Below are 27,041 nucleotides of genomic sequence, written 5' to 3'. Positions count from 1 at the left end.
TAACTATTTTAGTGTCCTCAACTGCCTTGTCTCAATTTTAGGTTGTTTCTAATTGATTGATTTTTTTTTCCTCTTCATTATGGGTTCTATATATTTTTTTGCTTCCTTGTATACCTGGTACTTTTTTTAATTGAATACCAGACATTGTGAGTTTTACCTTGAATGCTGGATATTTTTGGATTTCTGTAAATTTGCTTTGGGACACAGTTAAGTTTTGTGTAAACAATTTGATCCCTTTTCCAGTCTGATTTGTGGGGACAAGCATCACTCCTGACCTTGGTGAATACCAGTTATGTATAGTTTTTGTAAATTTTTCTGGTGTTTTTTTCCCGCAGTCTTGTGTAGCTTCCTTTTTTTGTGTGTGTGCTGATCAGTACTCTGTTGAATACTTGAGTGGGACCCTCTGCTGATCTCCATTGTTCTCTGTATGTACCTCTTTATTCTACAGTAGTCTGTTATGCAAACTCTCGCTGCCTTATTCTCCACATACTTTCAGCTTTGTCTCTTCATTTCAGAAAATCTTCTCGGCTTTGCTTGGGTAATTTCCCATGGCCTGGAAACTCCCTCAAGGGAGTAAGGTGGAAGGCTTACCTCATTTAGTTCCTATTTCTCAGTTCTTTGCTGTCTGATAGCCAGTGTCTTGAAAATTGCTGTTCCATATATTTTATTTGCTTTTCAGGTGGTAGGATAAATCTGTCTCTGTTACTCTATTTTGTACAAAAGTAAAATATCCATGTGTTTTTTAACTGTCTTTCCTGTAGTGTATTACTGGGTGTTCATTTTAATTAGATTTCACATTTCATTCATATAAACTTTTCTCTCTTTCTACTACCTTCCTCCATCTTCCCCAACTCATTTTGGATGACTCAAGGCCATCAATGTTGAGGACTTTTCCCCCTGAAGTAGCAGTCATTTTTAACCAATTCTACCACATTCCTGTCATGGTTAATGTTAAATATTTGCAAACTGATTGGGGTCAGAGATGTGGTTTGATGAATATATTCTTAGTTTTTATGGGAGATAGTTGTACTTTGTTTCCTTATCTATCAACTAGGTATTTGCTGAGTTCCAATTATATTCCCAGCATCATGTAGTGTGCTGAGTGCTAAGCAGAAAGTGAGTACAATATTGTTTTTGAGCAGTTTATGTTCTAACAGGGGAGACAGAACAAGATCTCATAAAATGTTAAGAAAAATGTTAAACTTTTTTTTTTTAAAGACACTAGACATTTAGAGATGAGAGACTATTCGTTTGATTTGGGTGGTTACGGAGTATTTTACTCTGATATGCTGGGGCTGAACAGGGCCTTTGAAAACGCATACATTTTAAAAATGGAAATAGTCACAAGATGTAATGGAAGAGAAGATACCATTTATGATAGCCAAGCAAATTATACAGGCATACACTTAATGAGAAATCTTCAGAATTTTTATGAGAACTCTAAAAACTCCTAAAGGTATAAGCATAAACTTGAACAAATATAAAGATATACTATGTTCTGTGTAGGAAGACTCAATATTCTTAGAGATGTCAGTTTTAAAAAAATAATTTAGAAGTTTAATATGATCCTGATGAAAGTACCATCAGATTTTTCCTCCTAGGGCTAGACAGATTATAAAGTTCATTTTCGAGAACAGACAAGCAAGAATAGCTAAGAAAATGCAGAAAGTGAAGAGGGGTAAAGATGACTTGTCTTGCTACATGTTATAACATGATATAAGAATTTAAGATTAAAATGATATACCATTGGTACAGGAATAGACAGAACAATTGAAGAGAATAGAAAATACACAATAAACCCAATTGCATATGGAAATTTAATGTGTACTAAAGGGAGCATCCTGTAAGTGGAGAAAATATGGAATTTTTAATATGTGGTGTTTGTGCTAATGAGATAGCGAATTGGGAAGAGGAAAGTTTGAATCCATTTCTCATACTGTATAACAGGATGTCAGTATAGAAAATAATACTGTACTAAGTACTGGAAGAAAACATGGGTAAATTATTTTATGATTTGTATAACACACACACTTTGGCATAGCAGAAACACCATAATCAAAGTAAAAAGATAAATGACAAACCAGAAGGATGTTTGCCACTTGTATAATGGACAAAGTGTTAATCTCTCAAATATCTAAAGAGCTTCAAAAACTGGAGAAGAAAAAGACCAACAGCTTTATGAAAATGTCGGCAGGAGACAGTGAATAGAATTCATATAAACAATTACAGATTAATCTTATATGACAAGAAGCTCAACATCACTTATAATAAGAGAGATATAAATTAAAACAACACAGTATATCATTTCTTTCCTATCACACTGGCAAAAGTCCATGGTATTAAGCATCAGTTTGACAGTGTATTTTGTTGGTAACAGAAAAAGGTACTCTTACATATTGCTATTGGGAATGCAAAATGGTGTGCTTCAGAGAGAATTTTGGCAATACAAGCAAAATTACACATATACACCTTTTGGCCCCATAGTCTTATCTCTAGGAATCTATCTTACAGATATATACTGAGAAATATCTGAGAAATATGTGTGCACAAAGCTACTGTGGCACTACTTCTAATAACAAAAGATGAAACAATTTAAAATTTGATCTGAATTTCAACAAAACAACTATACAAATTGAGACCATAGGGGAAATTTGAACAGTGAACAAGTAGTTGATGACATTAATTATTTTACACATGATAATACTATTATGGTTATGTTTAAAAAGAGCAACATTTTAGAAATGTTTGATATGTTACCATTCATTACAGATACTGTTTGTATTAATACTTGAAATGATTCACCTTCAGCCAGTGAGAGCCCCTTGAAGTTAACTCCTAAGTCCTTTGCCACATCTTTTGGAGATCATTATTTATGTGTTTATGGATGAAATTATATGATTAGAATTTATTTCAAAATAATCCAAAGGACAGGGTATATGGGGAGGCAGAGATGAAATAAGATTTGCCATGAGTTGATAATTATTTTAATCTGAGTGATTAGGGTTTTGTTATACTTCTTCGCATATGTTTAAAACCTCCTGTGAAAAACGTATGGAGTTTAAGTAGGCATAAATGAAGGCAGTGCATTTAGAACAAAGGCACTGAGACCAAGGACAATAGGAAATTGGACATGAAGTTCTTATACAATTTAATTTCCTGGTAAATGTAAAATAGACTTCCTTTATTTGCTCTATATCTTATTTGTGGTGTCTTTTTGTGTGTATGTGATGTAGTGCTTAAGGTATACTTTTCTATTAGTATAACTCTAAAGATTAAAATAATTCATGAAGTATGCAGTTTATTTGTTTATTGGTGCCCATTATAGGGCCTTTGAATTACCAGAATAATTGATCTGGAGGAAGTGAATGTTTTCTCACACTTTTTATGGGGTGCCATGTTTTCTTTTAACTTTTGCTTGAACATAGATTTAGATAGATCAGGTGAAAGAGAAAAATTGTTTTAGTTATACTATATGTGTATTTATTAGAGTATAATAATGAATAAACTTTCCTTTAAGATACTTAGTTTCTTTATCAGCTTTTTAATTTCATCTCCATTTCTCCTAGTCTGTTTTTATTTATCCCTGTGTTCTCCTACCTCTCTAACCCTGTCTCCTTTACCACTCTTTACTTTTTTTTAAATATGCTTTTTCTTTACTTTTCAAATTGAACAAATTGTATGTATTTATTGTATACAATGTGATGTTTTGAAGTGCCTATACATTGTGAAATGATTAAATCTAGCTTACATCTGCATTACCTGACATAGTTATTTTTGTGGAGAGAACAGTAAACATCCAGCCTTAGCATCTCTCAAGAGTACTGCAGATCTTCATTAGCTATATTCACATGGAGTAATGCTATTCAACCTATTTCTCTTATCAAAACTAATTTTGTATTCTTTGACCAATGTTCCTAAATTCACTCTGCTTCTCTATCTCAATCTTTTTCCCCTTTTCTCATCTTTCCTCCTTTTTTCAGTTTCTAACTTTCACTGTTTCTTTGAATGTTTTTTCTTTTCATCTCTTTTCTTTTACATTTTGTGTTTTCCCCTCTCCTTTTCTTACCTCTTTCTCCATCCTTCTTTTTCTTTGATTTGTCTGCCCTTTTATACTTCTCATCTTGCTGTCATCTTCATTTCTCCTTCCCTCTCTCTCCGCTTCATTCTACTCTTCTCCTCTTTATTTCTTTTCTCTCTCTGTGCCTCAGCTCACTCTGTCTCTCCTGCTGTCTAGTCTCCACTCTCTATTTCTAGGTTTGCCCTTGACTTTTTTTTTTTTTGACCTTTCCCTTTTCATCTCCCTTCCCAAACATTTCTTCCTAATTCTATGTGCTCTTGTCTTAGGTTTCTTGCTGTTTTATCAGCACATGTCCTAGTTTACCTCTTTCTTTTTTCTTCTTTCTCTCTTTTTTTCTTTGTTTTTCTGTATTTCTTCCATGTTGCTCTTCTTTTTCCACACTGTCCCTTCTCTCTCTCTCTCTCTCATAAACACACCCCTCTTGTTACTCTATATCTCTTCACTCAATCTTCCATCTTATTTTTCGTGAAAGAAAATTAAGAATGGAATTTTTCTTTTTTTTTCCAGATTTTAACATTGAGATTGTTCATTTAGTAATTTTTAAACATAATTTTAATAACTTACAAATAAGTTATACAGAATTTCATATGGTTACAAAAATCTATCTTCCTCAAGTATTTTTGCTTCAGAATCCTCATTATGTCTTAGAAAGACAGATAATGTGGTTTATTTAGTAATATCTAATGGTATTAAGCATGACAAGCAGGTTAACTTGTTTTCTATTCTACCAACAGATTAATATTAAGATTGGAAGTTTGTGTCTTTTGCTGGATATTGGAAATTGAATGTAATGGCAACAGAATTTATAAAGAGTTGCTGTGGAGGATGTTTCTATGGTGAAACAGAAAAACACAACTGTGAGTTTTATTTTGACTTCAGTAACATTTATGTAGCATCTTCTTCATTTGTGGCATTTTGTAATATAAAGAATTAGGCATGTTTTCCAACTTCTTAGGGGAGGCAGAAACATAAGGCACACTAAGTAAATATTCCATAACTTCAAGTAGTCTGGAGCATAGGGGAGAGAGAGAGTAATTCAACCCAGGGGATTCGTAAGATATTACCATAAAGAAAATTGCATTTGCTATGGAAATCTGAATAGGATTTTAGCAAGTTGGGTGGGAAGAAGGAAGAGAAACTGAAAATTGGACATGGGCATTACAGGTGGATGAAATAGTACAGGCAAAGACAGGGAGGGAAGAGAAGTATGTTTGGGAGACAACATATTCTGACCAATGTTTTGATTTAAATAAAGACAATCTACAATATGTGTATAACATTAAAAATGCCTTGAATGAATGAATGACCAATGGGGAAGAGACTCATAACTATGAAGACTCACATTTATTAAGGACCCCTGGAGAGTTCTTTTTCTATTGCATGGCTCCCTTATCTCTTCTCTGGCACTTTTATTTCCTAATCTACAGCAGAGCTTCATAGTATATTTGAGTATGAAGCCTTCTTTTTTACATTAAAACATTTCATAAATTTCTACAGAATAGTACTTGTACTTTCAGTCTACAGATAGCATTATATATATATAAAGAATAACTTACCTCCCATCTTAAATCATGTAGCTTAGGAATCACATATGATTCTAAAGAATGAATAAAATGGGTCATAGAAGCTACGACTGGGGTAGCTGCCAGCAACAAAAGAATTGCTTTTGTTGACAGTAGTTTTAAATGACTAGATTTTTACTTGAAAGCACTATATAACTGACTACAAAATAAAATTGTTTTCCATCTATGAATTCTTTTGGGAATAAGACTCTTTAAAGCTGCTTTTACCATTATGATAAGTTAATGCACTTTAACAGTAGTGTATTAATTGCTCAAATATCGTCTGGACAAAATTAATGTAGATTCCAGAAGTGTTTGGTAAGACCCAAGAGTAGTTTATGTGTCAGGAATTTCTTCTAAAATGGTTAAATAAATATCAAAGTATGCTAGGTTTAGATTATTATATGTAACCTATATTCATATTTGTGACTTTTTTTTTCTTTTATATGCAGTTTCTGTGGAAAGAGATTTTAAAGCAGCAGTCCCAAATAGTCAAAATGCTACTATCTCTGTACCTCCATTGACTTCTGTTTCTGTAAAGCCTCAGCTTGGCTGTACTGAGGATTATTTGCTTTCCAAATTACCATCTGATGGCAAAGAAGTACCATTTGTGGTGCCCAAGTTTAAGTTATCTTACATTCAACCCAGGACACAAGAAACTCCTTCACATCTGGAAGAACTTGAAGGTAAACAATAAAATAGCAGTATTTAAAAATCGATATGTAGCATTTAAGTGCTATTATTTTACTTTTATATTTTTAATACAAAATTCATATAAAATTTTTTTATTTTACTTTTTATATTTTGCTCTTTCTGTAGAAGAACTTAATGTACAGTAGTTTTGAAAGGTCCCATTTTGAAATCTGATCATAATACAATAATTTGTATGTAGAATTGGCCTTTTTTCAAGAAATAATATGTAATTGGCCCTCCATATCTTTGGGTTCCACATCTGTGGATTTAACCAACTGCACCTCAAAAATATTCAGAAAAAAAAAAAGAATGATTGCATCTGTACTGAACATGTGCAGACTTTTTTCTTGTCATTTTTTCCCTGAACAATACAATATGACAACTATCTCAGTAGCATTTACATTGCGTTAGGTATTATAAGTAATCAAGAGATGATTTAAAGCATATGGGAGGATGTGCATAGGTTATGTGCAAATACTACACCATTTATATAAGGGACTTGAGCATCCATGGATTTTGGTATCCATAGAGGGCTGGAACCAATCCCCCACATATACTGAGGGATAACTGTAATTAGAATACCTCAGTTATCCGTCACATGTCTAGAATGAAAAAGTAAAGGAGTTAGTAAATGTAGAAAACATGTTTCTTATTTATTAATTTCTAATATTTGGTTAGTAATCACTTTTCCTTCTCTTCTTTCTTCTACCAGGTTGTACTTCCCAGTCTAAATAGTTACTTGAATGAGGTAGATCCATTGGCAGAATTTGGCTGATGTAGAAGCCAAATTATTAGAGAGAAGATGAAACAACATGTAGCTCTTGTCTTGTTTTTTTAAAAAACAATTTGTATTAGTCCATTGAAACACTGTAAGTCACAATAGCTTTTTTACCCTCAAAATTTTATTAGAAAAATTTCAAACATACAGGAAAATAAAAAAAAAACTTAATAGTGAAGACCTGTATGTCCACCACATAAATTCTGCCATTAAGATTACTTACTATACTTGCTTTAGCAAATATCTGTCTACCTATCCATTCTTCTATCCATTATTAATCCACTTTTTGGAGAGGAATGAATTTCAGAGTAAATTGAAGACACCAATATATTTCCTTGCAAACACTTAAACATATATATCATTTACTGGGTTCAACGATCTCTTTACAGTTTTCTTCTTTTGGCATAAATTTTACACACAGTGAGCTGCCCAAGTGAGTATTTGTAGAATTTTGTGTGTATTTGTTGAATTTTAAGTGTATATTTGTTGAATATTGACAAAAGTATATGTCAGTGTAATCCAAATCTCTATCAAGATCTACAATATTTGTCCAAATATTTTTTGTCTTATCCCCTCTCTTTTCTGCTTCTGGGATTCCGATTATACCTATGTTGAACCTTTTGATATTGTTCTATGGGTCTCTGAGACTTTTTTTTTTCAAGTATCTTTTTTTCTCTGTTCTTTAGATTCAATAATATTGATCTTTTTTTCAAGTTCACTGTCTCGTCTGTTATCTTTAGCCTGCTGTTAAGCCTATTCATGAATTTTTTATTTTAGACATTGCATTTTTTAGTTCTAGAGTTTACATTTGGTTCTTTGTTATAGATTTCCTCTACTGCAATTTCTTATTTTTACAGTATTGCAAACCTATTTTCTTTTATGTTTTTAAGCTTTAAAATCTTTATCTGGTGATTTCAGCATCTTGATCATCTAGGTTTGGATTCTGTGGATTGTCTTTTTTCTTGAAAATAGATCACATTTTCCTGTTTCTTTGTATATGGAGTAATTTGGGGTTGTATTCTTGATATCAATATCAAAAATATTGAATGTTATGTTGTGGAGACTCTAGATTCAGTTACATTCTTCTGAAAAGGTTCCTTCTTTCCTCCCTTTCTCCCATCCTCCCTTCCTACTTCTCTTCTTTCATCCCTCCCTTCCTCCTTCCCTTTCTCCTTTCCCTCCTGATATGGTTTGGATGTTTGGCCCCGCCAAATTCATGTGATTCCCAATGTTGGAGGTGGGGCCTGGTGGGAGGTGTTTGGATCATGGGGGCAGATCCCTCATGTATGGCTTAGCACCATCTCCTTGGTGATAAGTGAGTTCTAGCTCTGAGTTCCTGTGAGATCTGGTTGTTTAAAAGAGCCTGGCACCTCCACTGCCCATCTCTTGCTCCTGCTGTTGCCGTGTGATGTGCCTGTTCTCTTTTTGCCTTCTGCCATGATTGTAAGCTTCCTGAGTCCCTGATTAGAAGCAGATGCTGGCACCATGCTTCCTGTACACACTACAAAACAGCAAGCAAATGAAACTGCTTTTCTTTATAAATTACCCATCCTCAGATATTCCTTTATAGTGGCACAAACAGACTAACACACCTTCCTTCCCTTCCTTCCTTTCTTTCTTCCTCCCTCCTACCAGACAAGTAAACTGGTTGGACTTAAACTACAGATTTTGTCTTGGGTGGCAGCTCTTGGGTGGTAGTTCAGAGATGAGACAGATATTTGAAAAGGCTTTATTTACAGAATTTGGGAATCTCTCCTTTCCAGGATTCCCACCTTACTTTCCTGCAGCTCTGATTTTCTTGAACTGTACCCTGTGGTTCTTCAGGCTAGAAAGACTGTGAGTTTTCTATTGGGGTTTTATATACCCTGCGTGTTGCCAACTTTGATGTGTACTCAGGCTAAAAGTCATTAAAAACAGATAACTCACTTTGTGCCATTACCTTTTTCCCCAGAATCAACTCCTGTCCAGATCTGTATTACTTTTCTTTACTCTTCATTGCCTTCAGGGTTTTTATTTTCTTGCTTTGTTTTAGTTTTGGTCTAGAGTTTATTGTTACCTACAAGAGAGTTGGGTCTGGTAGGAGTGATTTTTTAAATTTTAAATTAAAATTTGTTTTTTTGAGACAGAGTCTCACTCTGTTGCCCAGGCTGGAGTGCAGTGGCATGGTTTTGGCTTACTGCAGCCTCCATCTCCTGTGTTCAAACAATTCTCATGCCTCAGCCTCCTGAGTAACTAGGACTACAGGTGCACACCACCACACCCAGCTAGTTTTTGTATTTATAGAGATGGGGTTTCATCATGTTGGCCAGGCTGGTCTTGAACTCCTATTCTCAAGCATTCCACCCACCTTGGGCTCCCAAATTGCTGGGATTACAGACGTGAGCTACCATGCCTGGCCCAATTTTAATTTTTTAGAGAAAAGAAAAGATGAACCTAGTGCCTGGCCTATCATCTTACTTTGCGCATATCAATAGTGTTTCTCAAAAATAGTTTTAAAAAGTTCTGGCTTACAGAATACCCAATCAATTGATCTTTCTCTTTTTTTTTCATACTTATTAACAACATTGGGATTAAACCATGCAGCCTTGTAAGTTGTTTCATCCACATAATATGTTGTGAACATTTCATATTTGTTGCTTTTTGATGAATACATAGTATTTCTTCATATGGACATACTGTAATTTTTTTAATGAATTTTCTATTCTTAAATAATTTTGAGTTTTTACTCTATTATTTTCATAATCAGAAAAAAGGTAAGAAATATCCACCTGGAAATATGTGATAGTTTTTCTTATGTTCTTGACATTGTGCTCACTAGAAAACATTGCTTTTTGAGTTGAATGAGGAAGAAATTGGTTAACTCCTAAATTATAGGTTCACTGAAGAAGTGGTAAAACCATCTGATTTGTATATATTAAAGAGAAAATTACTTTTATTAGAGTCAAGAAAGTAAGGTGGTACCTAATTAAAGAAGTTAAATATGTGTATGTATGTATGCACGTGAATGATGGGTTGAGAAAAGAGAAGATTTTGAGTGAATAGAGCAGACTGCTATCAATAATGACTAAAATTGTGTTGCAAGCACAGTCAGGAATCATTTAACAATGGCGATATGTTCTGAGAAATGTTGTTGTTAAGCTATCTTATAATTGCATGGACAGTGTAGAGGCACTTACACAAACCTAGATGGTGTAGCCTACTAAACACTTAGGCTATATGGATACCATATTTCTCCTAGGCTACAAACCTATACAATATGTTACTATGCTGTATACTATACTAAATACAGTATTCAGTACAGTAAAAATATGGTATAAAAGTTAAAAGATGATACACCTTGTATTAGTCTGTTCTCACGCTGCTGATGAATACATACCTGAGACTGGGTAATTTATGATGAAAAAGAGGTTTAATGGAATCACAGTTCCATGTGGCTGGGAAGGCCTGACAATCATGGCAGAAGGTGAAAGGCATGTCTTACATGGCAGCAGGTAAGAGACAATGAGAGCCAAGCAAAAGGGGAAACCCCTTATAAAACCATCAGATCTGAGACTTATTCACTATCACAAGAACAGTATGGGAGAAACTGCCCCTATGATTCAATTATCTCCTACCAGGTGTCTCCCACAACATGTGGGAATTAGGGGAGCTACAATTCAAGATGAGATTTGGGTGGGGACACAGCCAAACCATACCATTCTGCCCCTGGCCCCTCCCAAGTCTCACATCCTCACATTTCAAAACCAATTATGCCTTCCCAACAGTCCCCCAAAGTCTTAACTCATTTCAGCATGAACTCAAAAGTCCACAATTCAAAGTCTCATCTGAGACAAAGCAAGTCCCTTCCGCCTATGAGCCTGCAAAATCAAAAGTTAATTACTTCCTAGATACAATAGGAGTATAGACATTGGATAAATACACCCATTCCAAATGGGATAAATTGGCTGAAATGAAGGGGCTAAGGGCCCCATGCAAGTCCACAATCCAGCAGGGCAGTCAAATCTTAAAGCTCCAGAATGATAACCTTTGACTCCATGTCTCGCATCCAGGTCATGCTAATGCAAGAGGTGGGTTACCATGGTCTTGGGCAGCTCCACCCCTGTGGCTTTGCAAGGTACAGCTTCCCTCCTAGCTGCTTTCACGGGCTGGTGTTGAGTATCTGTGGCTTTTCCAGGTGCACAATGCAAACTGTTGGTGGATCTACCATTCTGGGGTCTGGAGGATGGTGGCCTTCTTCTCACAGCTCTACTAGGCAGTGCCCCAGTGGAGACTCTGTGGGGGCTTCAACTCCACATTTCCCTTCCATACTGCCCTAGCAGAGGTTCTCCATGAGGGCCCCACCTCTGCAGCAAACGTTTGCCTGGACATCCAGGCATTTCCTTACATCCTCTGAAATCTAGGAGGAGGTTCCCAAACCTCAATTCTTGTGACTTCTATGCACCTGCAGGCTCAACCATGTGGAAGCTGCCAAGACTTGGGGCTTCCACCCTCTGAAGCCATGGCCCAAGCTGTACCTTGGCCCCTTTAGCCATTGCTAGAGCAACTGGGATGCAGGGCACCAAGTCCCTAGGCTGCACACAACAGGGGGGCCCTGGGCCTGGCCCATGAAACCACTTTTTCCTCCTGGACCTCTGGGCCTGTGATGGGAGGGCTTGCTGCAAAGGTCTCTGACATAGCCTGAAGACATTTTCCCATTGTCTTGATGATTAACATTTGGCTCCTTGTCACCTATGCAAATTTCTGCAGGTGGCTTGAATTTCTCCTCAGAAAATGTGTTTTTTTTTTCTATTGCATTGACAGTCTGCAAATTTTTCGAACTTTTATGCTCTCTTTTAAAACTGAATGCTTTTAACAGCAGCCAGGTCACCTCTTGAATGCTTTGCTGCTTAGAAATTTCTTCCACCAGATACCCTAAATCATCTCCCTCAAGTTCAAAGTTTCGGAAATCTCTACAGCAGGGGCAAAATGACACCAGTGTCTTTGCTAAAACATAGCAAGAGCCACTTTTACTGCAGTTCCCAACAAGTTCCTCATCTCTACCTGAGACCACCTTGGCCTGGATTTCATTGTCTATGTCATTATCAGCATTTTGGTCAAAGCCACTCAACAAGTCTCTAGGCAGTTCCTAACTTTCCCACATCTTCCTGTCTTCTTCTGAGCCCTCCAAACTGTTCCAACCTCTGCCTGTTACTCAGTTCCAAAGTTGCTTCCACATTTTTGGGTATCTTTACAGCAGCACCCCACTCCTGGTACCAGTTTACTATATTAGTCCATTTTCATGCTGCTGATGAAGACATACCTGAGTTTAGGTAATTTATAAAGAAAAAGAGGTTTAATGGACTCACAGTTCCACGTGGCTGGGGAGGCCTTACAATCATGGTGGAAGGAGAAAGACACATCTTACATGGTAGCAGGCAAGAGAGAATGAGAGCCAAGCAAAAGGGGAAACCCCTTTAAAAAAACCATCAGATCTCTTGAGACTTATTCACTACCACAAGTACAGTCTGGGGGAAACTGTCCCCATGATTCAGTTATCTCCCACCAGGTCTCTCCCACAACACATGAGAATTATAGGAGCTACAATTAAAGATGAGATTTGGATGGGGACACAGCCAAGCCATATCACACCTGTATAGGGCATTTATCATGAATGGAGCTTGCAGGGCTGTAAGTTGTTTTGGGTGAGTCAGTGAGTGAGTAGTGAGTGAATGTGAAAACTAGGACATTACTGTATACTACTGTGGATTTTATAAATGCTGTACCCTTAGGATATACTAAATTTATTAAATATATTTTTGTTTCTTCAACAATAAATCACCCTTAGCTTACTGTAACTTTTTACTGTATAAACTTTTTTTTTTTTGAAACGGAGTCTCAGTCTGTCACCAAGCTGGAGTGCAGTGGCACGATCCTGGCTCACTGCAACCTCTGCCTCCCAGGTTCAAGCGATTCTCCTGCCTCAGCCTCCCAAGTAGCTGGGACTACAGGCGCGGGCCACCACACACAGCTAATTTGTATTTTTAGTAGAGACTGGATTTCACTATGTTGGCCAGGATGGTCTTGATCTCTTAACCTCGTGATCTGCCCACCTCGCCCTTTCAAAGTGCTGGGATTACAGGCGTAAGCCGCCATGCCTGGCCTAAACTTTTAAATATTTTAAAACTTTTGACTTTTTTGTAATAATACTTGGCTTAAATATAAACACAGTGTGCAGCTATACAAAAATATTTATATCCTTACTCTATAAGCTTTTTTCTATTAAAAACTTTTTTTTTTACTTCTTAAACTTTTTTGTTAAAAACTTAGACACAAACATCCACATTAGCCTAGGCCTACGTATCTTGATGACAATCATTGCCATGTCACTAGACCATAGGAACTTTTTGGCTTCATTATAATCTTATGGAACCACTGTCGTATATGTGGTCCATAGTTGACCACAATGTTGTTATACAGAGAATTACAATAATTTAAACCTTTGAAGAATTTAGCTTTATGTCTACATATTATTCCCAACATGATTATTAACCTTGAAAGGAATTTGACCTATATTTTCTTTTTTAAATTATGAAATATTATACACGTAGAAAAATGCACAAAACAGAAACATACAGCTCAGTGATTTATTACAAAGCAGAATACCCATGTAGGTACAGCCTAGGTAAAGACATAGAGTAGTACTAGTAACCCCATAGCTTCTCTCCATTTTTTTGCCTTTCAGTCACCCTAGAGTGTTCAGTGTCACCATTGTTACAATCATGACTCTCTTGCCTTTCTTCTTACCACCTAAGCTCATATCCCTGAATATTGTAGTTTAATTTTTTCTGTTTTCTGAACTTAATATAAATAATTTATTCAGTCTGTATTCTTTTGTTTATGGTTTTCTCATTCAACATTATGTTTTTTAGATTAATTCAAGTAATTGTCAGTAGTTTTAGTTTGTTTTTGTATCTGTACAGTAAGTGTATATTATAATTCGTTCTGTATTCTAAATGGCATAGTGTACAGTAGTGTTTCTGTGTAGCATATTATAAGGAATTTGTATGTAGTAAGTATATACTATATCTATTTTACTGTTGATGGAATTTTGAGTTTTCCAATTTTTTGGCTATTATGGGTAATAATACTTACGAACATTCTTATACCTATCTCTTGGTGCACATGTACAAGCACTTCAGTTGTGTATATGTTCAGAATGGCTTGTTGGGTCATAGAATATAAATATCTTCGGCTTTAGTAGAAATTGCCAAACTCTTTTTCCATAGTGATTATATCAATTTACATTTCCACTAGCAGAGTATGATCGTTTACATTCCTCTACTTTCTTGCCAACACGTACTATTGTCCGTCTTTTTGCTTTTAACCATTCTGGTGAGTGTGTAGTGGTATTTCCTTGGGTTTTCAACTTATTTTTTCCTCATGACTAATGAGATTGATTGTCTTCTGAAGTGCCTATCAATGTCTTAAGCCAATTTATGTATAGTCTCGTCTGTCTTTTTCTTATTGATTTCTTATGATTTGTAGGTGTTCCTCATGTATTCTGGATATGAGCCCTTTATGGCCATACCACCCTGAATGCTCCTGATCTCATCTGATCTCAGAAGCTAAGCAGGGTCGGGCCTGGTTAGTACTTGGATGCATATGAGCCCTTTGTCAGTTATACTTGTTGCACATATCTTCTTTCACTCTGTGGGTTACCTTAAATAGTCTTTGACAAATGGGAATTTTAAATTTTAATGTAGTTTAGTTTATTAAAATATGTCTATGATTAGGCTGGTCGTGGTGGTTCATGCCTGTAATCCCAGCACTTTGGGAGGCTGAGGCGGTGGATCACTTGAACCCAGGAGTTCAAGACCAGCCTGGCCAACATGGTGAGTGAAACCCCATCTCTACTAAAAATACAAAAACTTAGCTGGCGTGGTGGCGTGTGCCTGTAATCCCAGCTACTTCGGAGGCTGAGGCAGGAGAATAGCTTGAACCCAGAAGGTGGAGGTTTCAGTGAGCCGAGATCATGCCACTGCATTCCAGCCTGGGCAACAGAGTGAGAATCAACTTCAAAAATAATAATAAATAAATAAATAAAATTATATATATATATGTGTGTGTGTGTGTGTATGTATGTACGTGTGTGTGTGTGTGTGTGTGTATATATGTATGTATATGATTAATGCTCTTTATGTTCCATTTAAGAAATGCTTCCCTGTCCTAAGGTCATGAAAACTTTCTTATCAGTTAACCTGAATATAGAAGCTTTATTGGTTTGTCTGTAATATTTCATTTAGATCTACAATCCCCATGGAACTAATTTTTTTGTGAATATCTTTAGTTGAATGCAGGCTTATTTTTTCCCTGTTGATATCCAGTTGTCTTATCACCTTTTAGTGAAAAGATCATTCTTTCTTGTGCAGTGCCACCTTAATTATAAAGTAAGTGTTCATGAAACGGGTGTCTATTTCTAGGCCTTCTTTTCTTTGCTATTGATCTCTTTTTCTATCACTTACCAATATTATATTCCTAATTCCCAGTAGAGCGAATCTTTCAGTCTTGTTTTTCTTCTTAAAGATTAAGTTTTTGGTTATTCTTGGTCTTTAGTGTTTCCATATAAATAGTTTTTATTTTTATTTTTGCTATTTGATTTCCAACTTAATTGCATTGTAGTAAGAAAACGTACTTTGTATGATTTCAGTCCTTCCAAATTTGAGAGTTTCTCGGTGTATCTCAGCATGTGGTCAATTTTAATAAATGTTCTACGTCTTCTTGAAAAGGATGTATCTCCCCCCCCAATCTTGTAATTTAAAAGATGTTCTATATATAAGTAGAAAAATAAGAGGAAACTCAGATCACACAATACAGAATTGTCTATGGGGCAAAGAAAAATGCCAGAAATATACCAGACTGTCTTAAATGCAGGCTTAATGGCTGATCCTTGGCATAATACTTCACACAGAACTCCCTAAATATGTGCTGATCTTTTTAGCTATCAAAGACATGTGATTTAGTATTACTTGAGACAAAATATTTTTTCTTTTACCCTGGGTGTACCAGCTGTTGGCTAATAACTCCAAGAAAAGGATGTTATAAACTTTTAGAAACATTTGCTTTCAGGATCTGCCAGAGCATCTTTTGGAGATCGAAAGGTAGAACTTTCCAGTTCATCCCAGCACGGACCTAGCTATGATGTGTATAACCCATTCTATATGTATCAGCACATTTCACCTGATTTGAGTCGACGCTTTCCTCCCCGTTCAGAAGTGAAGAGACTGTATGGATCGGGTATGAAGATCTTTTGTGCTTTTCCTCTCTGTGTTTCTCTTTAAGAAATTTAGAAATCAAATGTAAGATATGGGAATAAATGATTTTTACTATTAAAAGCATTTTAAAAATAAGAAAACAAGCTTCATAAATGTGATAAACGTTATGACATCTCTGTAGTATTATATCTAATATAAGAATTGAAAGATTAATGAGTTATATCTGTTGGTAGTTCTAAATTCCATTTAATTTCCCTTTTTTGAAAGAAGCTTTGGTTCAAGAGATCTTTTATACAACATGGAGACTATAGTTAATTATGATATATTCTTGAAAAGTGCTAAGAGAGTGGATATTAGGTGTTCTCAAAACACTTTTTGTTATCATTCAAAAGTGATAACTGTGAGGTAATACATTTGTAAATTAGCTAGATTTAATCATTCTGCAATGTATATATACTTTAAAGCATTATGTTGTTCATGATAAATACATATAACAAAAGAGAAAGAAGTTAGCTACATACCAGGTACAAGGGAAAAAACATAAAGAAGAAAGAAGTTTTGTTTTCAGATTATTTTGTCTTTTTGTTGTTGTTGTTGTTTTGAGACAGAGTCTCACTTTGTTGCCCAGGCCGGAGTGCAGTGGTGCAATCTCAGCTCACTGCAGCATCAACCTCCCAGGCTCAAGTGATTCTCACACCTCAGCTCCCCATCACCCCTGCCCCACCGCAGAAGCTGGGGCTACAGAAGTGTGCCACCACACCTGACTAATTTTTTTGAATTTTTTTGTAGAGATGGGGTTTTGCCATGTTGCCCAGGTTAGGCTCAAAATCCTGGGCTGAAGCAATCCTCCTGCCTTGGCCTCCCAAATTGCTGGGATTACAGGCATGAGCCACTACACCAGCCCAGATTATTTTGTATGCATTTCACTTGTCACCTGTATATTCATAAACTCTTCAACAGCTATTTGTACATAGATATGTTGTACTAAATACAGTAATATTTTTTTCATTTTTTTCTGTATTCAGTGAAAATGATGAATTTAGAAACTCATGGTGTGATGGGAAATATAAACAAACTGCTTAAGTGATTATAGAGCTTTTGTAGTTTCATATTTGAGACTGTGTGAATTATAGTCTATCATGTTCGTCTGTGATTCACAAAATTCTCAGTTTTTCAGGATATATATATATATATACACACACACATATATATGTATGTGTATATATGTATATATGTATACATATGTGTGTGTATATATATGTATATATGTATACATATGTGTGTGTATATATATGTATATATGTATACATATGTGTGTGTGTATATATATATATCTCTCTCAACCAGTGAATTTAGGGTGAGGTACTGAAAATAAAGAAGAAATGCTTATTTAAGGGCCTGCCTTACGTTCACTACTGTGCTAGAATATACAATTGGCATACAAAGTTCCTTTCTTCACAGATCTTACAGTGTAGGAGGGAAACTAAAAATACAGACTAGAAATATAGGAGCACATGGGATTGAGTATTGATTTTTAAAAGTAATACATGCTTATTAATAATAAATAGTTGCACTACACTTAATACAGAGTGTTTACTCTTAGATTATATTTATTGGATCAAGGAATGGGGAATGTAAAGAAAAAAGTAATTTTCCCTGTTTGATAATTGATGTGGATGTGAAAATGTGTTGTTTGATTTGTGTTGATTTCTGTTTCAAACAAAAATAAAATAACTGAAAAAAATTTTTTTAAGTTTAAAAAATTTTTATTAGAAGGCTTTATCTCTTCTGTAGATTTGCACAAAATATTCATGATGTATTGCTACAGAGATTTAGTTCATGGTAATTAAGTAGAATTCCAGTGTTTCTTAAAAATATATACTTTTCTCATATCCCTTTGTAGTTTGTGATTTAAGGACGAACAAACTTCCCGGTTCCCCTGGGCTAAGCAAATCTATGTTTGATCTTACAAACTCATCTCAGCGATTCATCCAGGTGAATTATCTACATAAATTTAATTATATGTGATAATTTCCTTTCAAATTAAAAATTCAGAAATGTATGAATTACATTAGGAATATGCTGTATATTTTTTGTAGATGTATCTGTTCTGATATCTGAAGAATAAATAATTGATATTTCCCATGTATATTATTTTAGAAAGCTGTTATTTGATTGCTAAAAGGCAGTAGTTTTTCTTTTTTCAATAAATTTTATATCTCAGTTGGTATGCTCTCAGGGAACCTTGAAACAGTTGGTATTTAAAATGGTGTAATTAAAAGTGCTTATTAATTTAGCTTTTCTTACTGAATATAACCAGCTAGTTTTAAAAATTATATTTCTTTTGAGATGTAGGACTTTATTCACTGATGTTAACACTGCATCCTCCTGGTTTTGAAAAGGAATTGAGAATTATTTTGATGTTTTAAAAAATGTTTCTTTTTTATTACAAGTAAACTGTAATTATTTAAAATTAGGAAATAGAAGTAAGCAAAGTAGAAAGACAAATTCCCATATTTCCTATAACTCAGAGTAAGTGCAATGTGAAAATATTGTTATGTGTACTCATGGTCTTGTTTCCATGTGAATATATGTACATATATTTTTTAAAATGGAAATATATTCTAGATAATCCTTAATCCTCAAGTGAGTTAACTTTTTATAGATTTAATTTTTTTATAGCAGCAGTTGTTTAACACACATCAGAATTGTTTGGAGAGCTTGTTAAAACACAGGATGACAGGCTTCATCCTCAGAGTTCTTAATTCAGTAGCTCTGCAGTAGGGCCTGAGTTTGTATTGCTACCAAGTTCCAAATGATACTGTTTCTGCAGGTCCAGATTGACTATGCTTTGATAATTGCTGCTTTACAAGTTTTTCCATAGCAGGCTATTTCTAAATAAATTCTCATTTTCGTTAATACTCTCAGGTATGAAACTTAAGCAGTAATATCTTTCTCCTTATTACAAAACCAAACCAAAACAGCAAAGGCTTTCCAGTATATCATCTTGTAAGATATTTAAGATATTCCTAACAAATGCCAAAAGCTTTTTTTTTTTTTTTCCACTACCTGTAAGTGGGAAATTCTGACCTGTAACACTGTCAAAATAGTTAGCATGCAGTTTGTTACTAGGATGGATATTGAGGCATATGTATCAGAATCCTTAAGGTTTCATATGCAATTTCTGACTAAAGAATAATTTTATTTATAGAGACATGATTCATTGTCCAGTGTACCCAGTAGTTCTTCTTCAAGGAAAAATTCTCAGGGGAGTAACAGAAGCCTGGGTAAGGAATAAAGTATCCTACTTTTATACTCTTAAGATAATTATTTCTACTCAGTAGTAACTTGAAAGTGTATATAAGGTGAAAAACTCTAGATGATTGTATCTACTATGTTGATATAATAAATTAAGTCTAAATAAAACTATGTTGGTAGTGTTATCAGCATATGGATACTCAGATCACATGGTCCATTTCTCAGTGTTCAGGTACAAGTGTGGCTTTTTAAAAAGTGATGAAGCAGTTGAATATCTTTTGTTTGTATTAAAGTGTACTAGTGAAGGAGCCTCCAGAAGAATACAGTATTAAGGCCATATAAATGTTATTTGGAAAGATTTCTCTTAGTTTTAATTTAAATCCCTCACTGCAATTAGGTTAAGTTTTTAAAACCATGAGACCTTTTTATAGTATATATCTTCCCTCTAGTGCTTCAATAAATATATTAAAGTGTGATTTTTGTCTTCTTAGATTGTGAACTTTAAAAAATAATTGTAGCATTTTAAAATTGTGCTCTTAAAATTGGATTGTGTCAAAGCTTAATTGGGTTAGAAGGATTGCATGGCATTTGAAACATCTTTGTCCTTTTATAATTCAGATACAATTACTCTATCAGGAGATGAAAGGGACTTTGGGAGACTGAATGTGAAATTGTTTTATAATTCTTCAGTAGAACAGATCTGGATCACAGTTTTACAGGTAAATTAGTATAGTTAATACCAGCTTTTATTACAAAATTGAATATTTAGACATTGTAAACACTGACTATTGCCCTTTTCTGGGGAATGGGCCAATGCCACCTTTGACATTTGGAATTCTTTAATATTTTTACAGAAAATAGTATTTAATAAGGCATCTAAGAAAAAAATCTGTAGTATGATGGAAGTATGTGTGTTTTTAAGCTCAAGAGGGAAATTGACATAACATCTAGAATATTATATGTCAAAATTTGCTTAATGTGGATGCAACATGAGGTCTCAGTAGACAAGTTTATTTTTTGCAGTTTTTATCTAAAGTCAGTACCTCAAGAAATACATCAAATGTTTGTATTGTTGGATCCTTTGTAAAATTCAAACTGTATTTTTAATTTTTTTAGTGCAGAGATTTAAGTTGGCCCTCTAGTTATGGAGACACTCCTACTGTTTCTATAAAAGGAATACTTACATTGCCCAAACCAGTGCATTTCAAATCTTCAGCCAAGGAAGGTTCCAACGTAAGTGGCTGTTTGTATTTGAATTTCTTTTCTGTTTTTTTTTTTTTTATATTTGTCACTTTTACCCATGTAAACAAGTCAGAATAAGAAAGTCTTTTATCTTAGGGAAACTACAACTATGTATTATTGCTTTTTCAAGGCAACTTTGAGTCTGAAAAATATTTGATATTTCATTGTCTAGTATTAAGATGCATTTAAAAAGAATATCTTATTCACTAAAATATATAGAAGATTAACAATATCTAAGAAACCTGTTTACTTTTCTTGTGTGAAAGGAAATAAATCTTGGCTTCTCTTTCCCCCAACCCACTTTGGCTTTGAAAAATAAATTCATGATTGCAATGAATTTCTTTTAAATATTTCCAATTAGTATAACAGAAAGACTTATGATCCTGAGTTTGGTTTTGTAGATCCTAGATTTTACATTAATTTAAATACATCTTCATTTCTGTCACTTTTTATAGGTTAAAAGATTATTGTTTTTCTATGCAAATGAAAAGATATCTTCTAAAAGACATCATTTTAAAATAATATCATTCAAATGACTAATAAACATATAAAAAGTTTCTTCTCACTATTAATCATAGAAATACAAATTTAAATTGCGTGTATTGCTTTCTGTTTCTTTCTTCCTCTTTCTTTCTTTGCTTTCTTCTTAGAATTAGGAAAACTTTTACAGGTATTCTAGAACATACAACTTCTTAGAAATTATCTTGACACTACATGTCAAAACCTTAAAATATTTATACTTTTAAACAGTAATTCTACTTTGAAACTGGAAATTATTTCTGTGGAAATAATCTAAAATACAAAAATATATAAAATACTCTTGGAAGTTTTGTTTGAAGAAAAATTGAAAAAACTTCAAATGTGTCATACAGAGGAATGGTTGAAAAACCTAATGGTGTACCTATGTGTATTAGTTTCCTAGGGCTACCATAACAGTACTGTACCACAAACTGGGTGACTTACAGCAACAGAATTTTCTCTCTTGCAGCTTTGGAGAAAGTCCAAAATTAAAATGTCAGCAGTGTTGATTCCTTCTCTGAGGGAGAATCTGTTCTATGCCTCTCTTCCAGCTACTGTGATGGCCAGCAATCCTTGACATTCCCTGGCTTGTAGATCACTCCAGTCTCTGCTTCTGTCTTCACATGGCATTATACCTGTGTTCTGTGTATTCACATGGCCATCTTCTTAAAGGATACCAGTCATTAGGGGTCCACCCTATGTCAGTATTACCTTTTCTTAACTTCACTGATCACATCTACAGTGACCCTGTTTCCAAATGAGTTCACATTCTGAGATGCTGGGGCTCAGGACTTCAACATATCTTTTTTAGGGGGGTGTAATTCATCCCATAACACCATGTGATAGAAAACTAGGTAACTATGAAAACTAATGTTTAGGAAGAGTTTTTAAGGAGCTGGAAAAACATTTTTAATAAATGAAAAAGACAATGATCAAAATTGGGTTGTGTGTGTATGTGTATATGTGTATGAATGTGTATATATGTATGTATGTGTATATGTATATATGTATATATATATTGGGATCTTACTTTATGAAAATATGTATCATTGAAAGTCTAGCTAGAAATAAACCTTAACTCATTATAACCTTGACACTCATAGATGAATACTTTCTGAATTAAACAATTTTACTTTTTGATTTTCAAATAAAGCTAATTTAACTTAGGAAAAGTTAGGAAAAATGTTCCCATATTAAAACTTGTATGGAATCTTTCATTTTACAATTTTATTATTATATATAAATTTGTTTGGGAGACTCCTATTTGGCAAAATACAGAAAGTGTGAAATGAAGCATCACACTTGCATAATTTGTAAGCTCATTAAACATTTTGTGTGTAATATATAATTGGTGTGATTCTATGACTTGAGACTCTAAAAGAAAAAGATAGCTCAGTAGTTGTGAGACCCTCAGAAAGACAGTTCTGGCTGTACAGACAGACATAAGCTATTACAACAAGAGTAACAGTTTGGGCACAGTATAGGCATACTTCGGAGATACTGTAGGTTCAGTTCCAGACTGCCACACTAAAATGAACATTGCAATAAAGCAGGTCACATGAGTTTTTTGGTTTCCCAGTGCATACAAAAGTTATCTTTATACTGTAGTCCATTAAGTGTGCAATAGCATTATGTCTAAAAAAAGTAATTTACATACTTTAATTTAAAATACTTTATTTCTAAAAAATGTTAATGATCATCTGAGTCTTCAGCAAGTTGTAATTTTTTTGCTGTTGGAAGGTTTTGCCTTGATGTTGATGGTTGCTGAATGATCAGGGTGGTGGTTAGTGAAGGTTGAAGTGGCTGTGGCAATTTCTTAAAATAAGACAACAGTGAAGTTGGCCACATCTATTGACTCTTCCTTTCACAAAAAAGTTCCCTGTAGTATGTGATGCTGTTTGATAGCATTTTATCCACAGTAGAACTTCTTTCAAAATTGGATTCCATCCTCTCAAACCCTGCTGTTGCTTTTCAGCTAAGTTTATGTAATATTCTGAATCCTCTGAATTCATTTCAACAACGTTCACAGCATCTTCACCAGGAGTAGATTCCATCTCCAGAAACTACTTTCTTTGCTCATGTGTGAGAATCAACTCCTTATCTGTTCATATTGTATCATGAGATGGCAGCCATTCAATTGCATCTTCAGGATCCACTTCTAATTCTAGTTCTCTTGCTGTTTCCACCACATCTGCAATTACTTCCTCTGCCGAAATTTTGAATCCCTCAAAGTCAGCCATGAGGATTAGAATAAACTTCTTCCAGATTCCTGCTAATGTCCTTTTTTTGACCTTTCATGCATCATGAATTTTCTTAATGGCATCTAAAATCCTGAATCCTTTCTAAAAAGTTTTCAATTGCTTTTGCCCAGGTCCATCAGAGGAATCACTATCTATGGCAGTGATAGCCTTACAAAATTTAGTTTTTAAGTAATAACACTTGAAAGTTGAAATTACTCCCTGATCCATGGGATGCAGAATGGATGTGTTTGCAGACATGAAAATAACATTCATCTCTGTATACATCTCTGTCAGGGCTCTTGGGTGACGAAGTGCATTGTCAATGAGAAATAATGTTTTGAAAGGAATCTTTTTTTTTTTGAGCAGTAGATCTCAATAGTAGACTTAAAATATTTAGTAAACCATGCTGTAAACAGATATGCTGTTATCCAGGCTTTGTTGTTCCCTTTATAGAGCACAGGCATAGTTAATTTAGTATAATACTTAAGGGCCCTAGGATTTTCAAAACGGTAAGTGAGTGTTGGCTTCAACTCAGAGTGACTGATTGCATTAGCCCCTAACAAGAGAGTCAGCCTAGTCCTTTGAAGCCTTGAAGTCAGGCATTGACTTCTCCTCCATAACTGTGAAAGTCCTACATGGCATCTTCTTCCAACAGAAGGCTCTTTTGTCTACATTGAAAATCTGTTGTTGAATGTAGCCACCTTCTTAACTAGATCTTCTGGATAACTTGCTGCAACTTCTACATTAGCACTTGCTGCTTCACCTTGCACTTTTATGTTTTGGAGACTGTTTCTTTCCTTAAACCTCGTGAACCAGCCTCTACTAGCTTTTAGTTTTTCTTCTTCAGCTTCTTCACTTCTCTCAGGCTTCATAGAATTGAAGAGAGTTAGGACCTTGCTCTGGATTAGGTTTTGGCTTAAGGGAATGTTGTGGCTGATTTGATTTTCTCTCCAGACAAATAAAACTCTCTCCACATCAGCAATAAGGCTGTTTCACTTTCTTATTTGTATATTCACTGGAGTAGCATGTTTAATTTCCTTCAATAATTTTTCCTTTGCATTCACAACTTGACTAAGTGGTATAAAAGGCCTAGCTTTTGGTCTGTCTCGGCTTTCAGCATAGCTTCCTCACTAAGCTTAGTCATTTCTAGCTTTTGATTTAAAGTCGGAGATGTACGTTTGTTCCTTTCCCTTGAACACTTAGAGGGCATTTTAGGGTTATTAATTGGCCTAATTTCAATATTGTTGTGTCTTAGGAAACAGGGAGGCCTGAGGAGAGGGAGAGAGATGGAACAGCTGGTTGCCAGAGCCGTCAGAACACACATATTTATCGATTAAGTTGCCCATCTTATATAGGTGTGGTTCGTGGCACTCCAAAACAATTACAATAGTAATATCAAAGATCACTGATCACAGGTCACCGTAACAGATATAATAATAATGAAAAAGTTTGAACTATTATGAGAATTACCAAAATGTGACAGAGACATGAAGTGAGCACATGCTGGTGGAAAAACGACACTGATAGACTTATTCAACACAGTGTTGCCACGAACCTTCAATTTTTAAAAAATGTAATGTCTATGAAGCACATTAAAGCAAAGTACAGTAAAATGAGGTATGCCTGTATTCAAAATATTTATGCTAGTTGCCCAGATATCTTGCCTTTTCAAAAGGAATAAAAGCTCCTTTCTAAATGGATGCATTAAAGATGGAAAGAAGGAAGTGTATGGCAAAGAACCGTCTAGTGTCAAGAATATGTTAGCCCATAGTAAGCCAACGATTTAAAAATATTAAAAGTAACAAGAGCATTTAAAAATGTTCTGAGGCTAGAAAACAGTGACTTGCTGACTGAGATGGGTGCTTAGGAGAGAAGATATAATTTTAAATTCATATTTTCCTTTGTCTTCTCTATCAAGGAGTTAGATTTTCAGATCGGAAAGGGTGGAATAAATGTCACCAAAAGAGAAATTGAAGCCTGAGATAGATGGGAAGATTCTTTAGACAAAAAATAACTCCTTTAAAGAAACAATTCAAGTCTCTTTATGTGAACAAGTTAGATACTATGAACAAGAGAGTGCTTGCATATGAGATTCTTGCACCACTCTCCTGAACTGTTGAAGAATGGTATTGATAACAGGAAAGATGCCAGAACCAAAGATGGAAAAACAATTAATTTTCAAAAAGGGAAAAAGCTGTATTGTGGTGAGCATGGTGTTAATATGACCTGAATTCCTAAATAATTTAAAGGATGATTTGTGAAATTAAGAAAGGTAGAACCCAGGATAAACTCTAGAAAAACAAGTCATTGCCATTCTTATTTTCATTCACATTAAAAAGATGTTTTGTTGTAAAAAGAATTGAATATACCTTTCCTAAATATAAAATAAAATATTATTTTGTATTGGCATATAAGCCTTTTATTTATATATTTTATGTTTTCTTGTTTTTTTTTTAAGGCTATTGAATTTATGGAAACGTTTGTATTTGCTATTAAACTTCAAAATCTACAAACTGTAAGACTTGTATTTAAGATTCAAACCCAGACTCCCAGGAAGAAAACCATTGGAGAATGCTCAATGTCACTCAGAACCCTTAGCACACAGGAAATGGATTACTCTTTGGATATAACACCACCTTCAAAAATTTCTGTAAGCGATAATAGTATGTTAAGAGTATTTCATACTTTTAGAATTAGTTGGTGGATGGGCTTTTGTTTGTTAGAGAATAGCCTGAATAGAATATTAGAGGATCTGGAAGGCTCTCAAGTAGCAATAATATTATTTTCAAATATTTAGAAATTATTGATAAAATGTTAACAGAACTGTTTTCTTTCTCCATTGGAAAATAACCTCAGGGTTACCTTCTCCTAGCACATTTCTTTTTTCTTTTTTTCTTTGAGATGGAGTCTCGCTCTGTCGCCCAGGCTGGAGTGCAGTGGTGCGATCTCGGCTCACTGCAAGCTCCGCCTCCTGGGTTCACGCCATTCTCCCGCCTGAGCCTCCCGAGTAGCTGGGACTACAGGCGCCCACCACCATGCCTGGCTAATTTTTTTTTGTATTTTTAGTAGAGACGGGGTTTCACTGTGTTAGCCAGGATGGTCTCGATCTCCTGACCTCGTGATCTGCCCGCCTCGGTCTCCCAAAGTGCTGGGATTACAGGCGTGAGCCACTGCGCCTGGCCTCTCCTGGCACATTTCTTATTAATGTTTTATACTTCAAGGGAAATAACTCTGAAGTATGAATAACCTTTTTTTTTTTAAGTTTTTTTAGGTAGCTGATAACTTAGGAAAAACAAGAAAGAATCATAAATTCCACACTCAATCAGAGATTGCCCTGAAATAGATTAGGAAAGTTGTTTTAACCATGAGTAAGCTATACAGCAGCTCATAAATTGATTAGAAGTTTTTACAGCTGATTTT

At 34.8% G+C, this 27,041-nt stretch overlaps 1 protein-coding gene across 4 annotated transcripts in view; it reads left to right on the top strand.

The window, feature by feature from the left end:
* TC2N (tandem C2 domains, nuclear) overlaps positions 1-27,041 on the top strand; it is an 87,791-nt gene that overhangs the window by 48,899 nt on the left and 11,851 nt on the right. For 3 of the 4 annotated variants that reach the window (NM_001128596.3, NM_001128595.3, NM_152332.6), the window contains exons 2-9: positions 4,813-4,935; positions 6,093-6,326; positions 16,217-16,384; positions 18,266-18,357; positions 19,574-19,649; positions 20,239-20,339; positions 20,737-20,853; positions 26,080-26,271. In NM_001128596.3, coding sequence (NP_001122068.2) covers positions 4,869-4,935; positions 6,093-6,326; positions 16,217-16,384; positions 18,266-18,357; positions 19,574-19,649; positions 20,239-20,339; positions 20,737-20,853; positions 26,080-26,271 — 1,047 coding nt within the window. In that variant the 5' untranslated portion in view covers positions 4,813-4,868. The remainder of the gene's footprint in view (positions 1-4,812; positions 4,936-6,092; positions 6,327-16,216; positions 16,385-18,265; positions 18,358-19,573; positions 19,650-20,238; positions 20,340-20,736; positions 20,854-26,079; positions 26,272-27,041) is intronic. The other variant, NM_001289134.2, reaches the window with a different exon arrangement.

Source organism: Homo sapiens, chromosome 14 (genome assembly GCF_000001405.40).
Source record: "Homo sapiens chromosome 14, GRCh38.p14 Primary Assembly".
Taxonomy (NCBI): Eukaryota; Metazoa; Chordata; class Mammalia; order Primates; family Hominidae; genus Homo; species Homo sapiens.
This window is presented reverse-complemented; position numbering and strand designations above follow the sequence as displayed.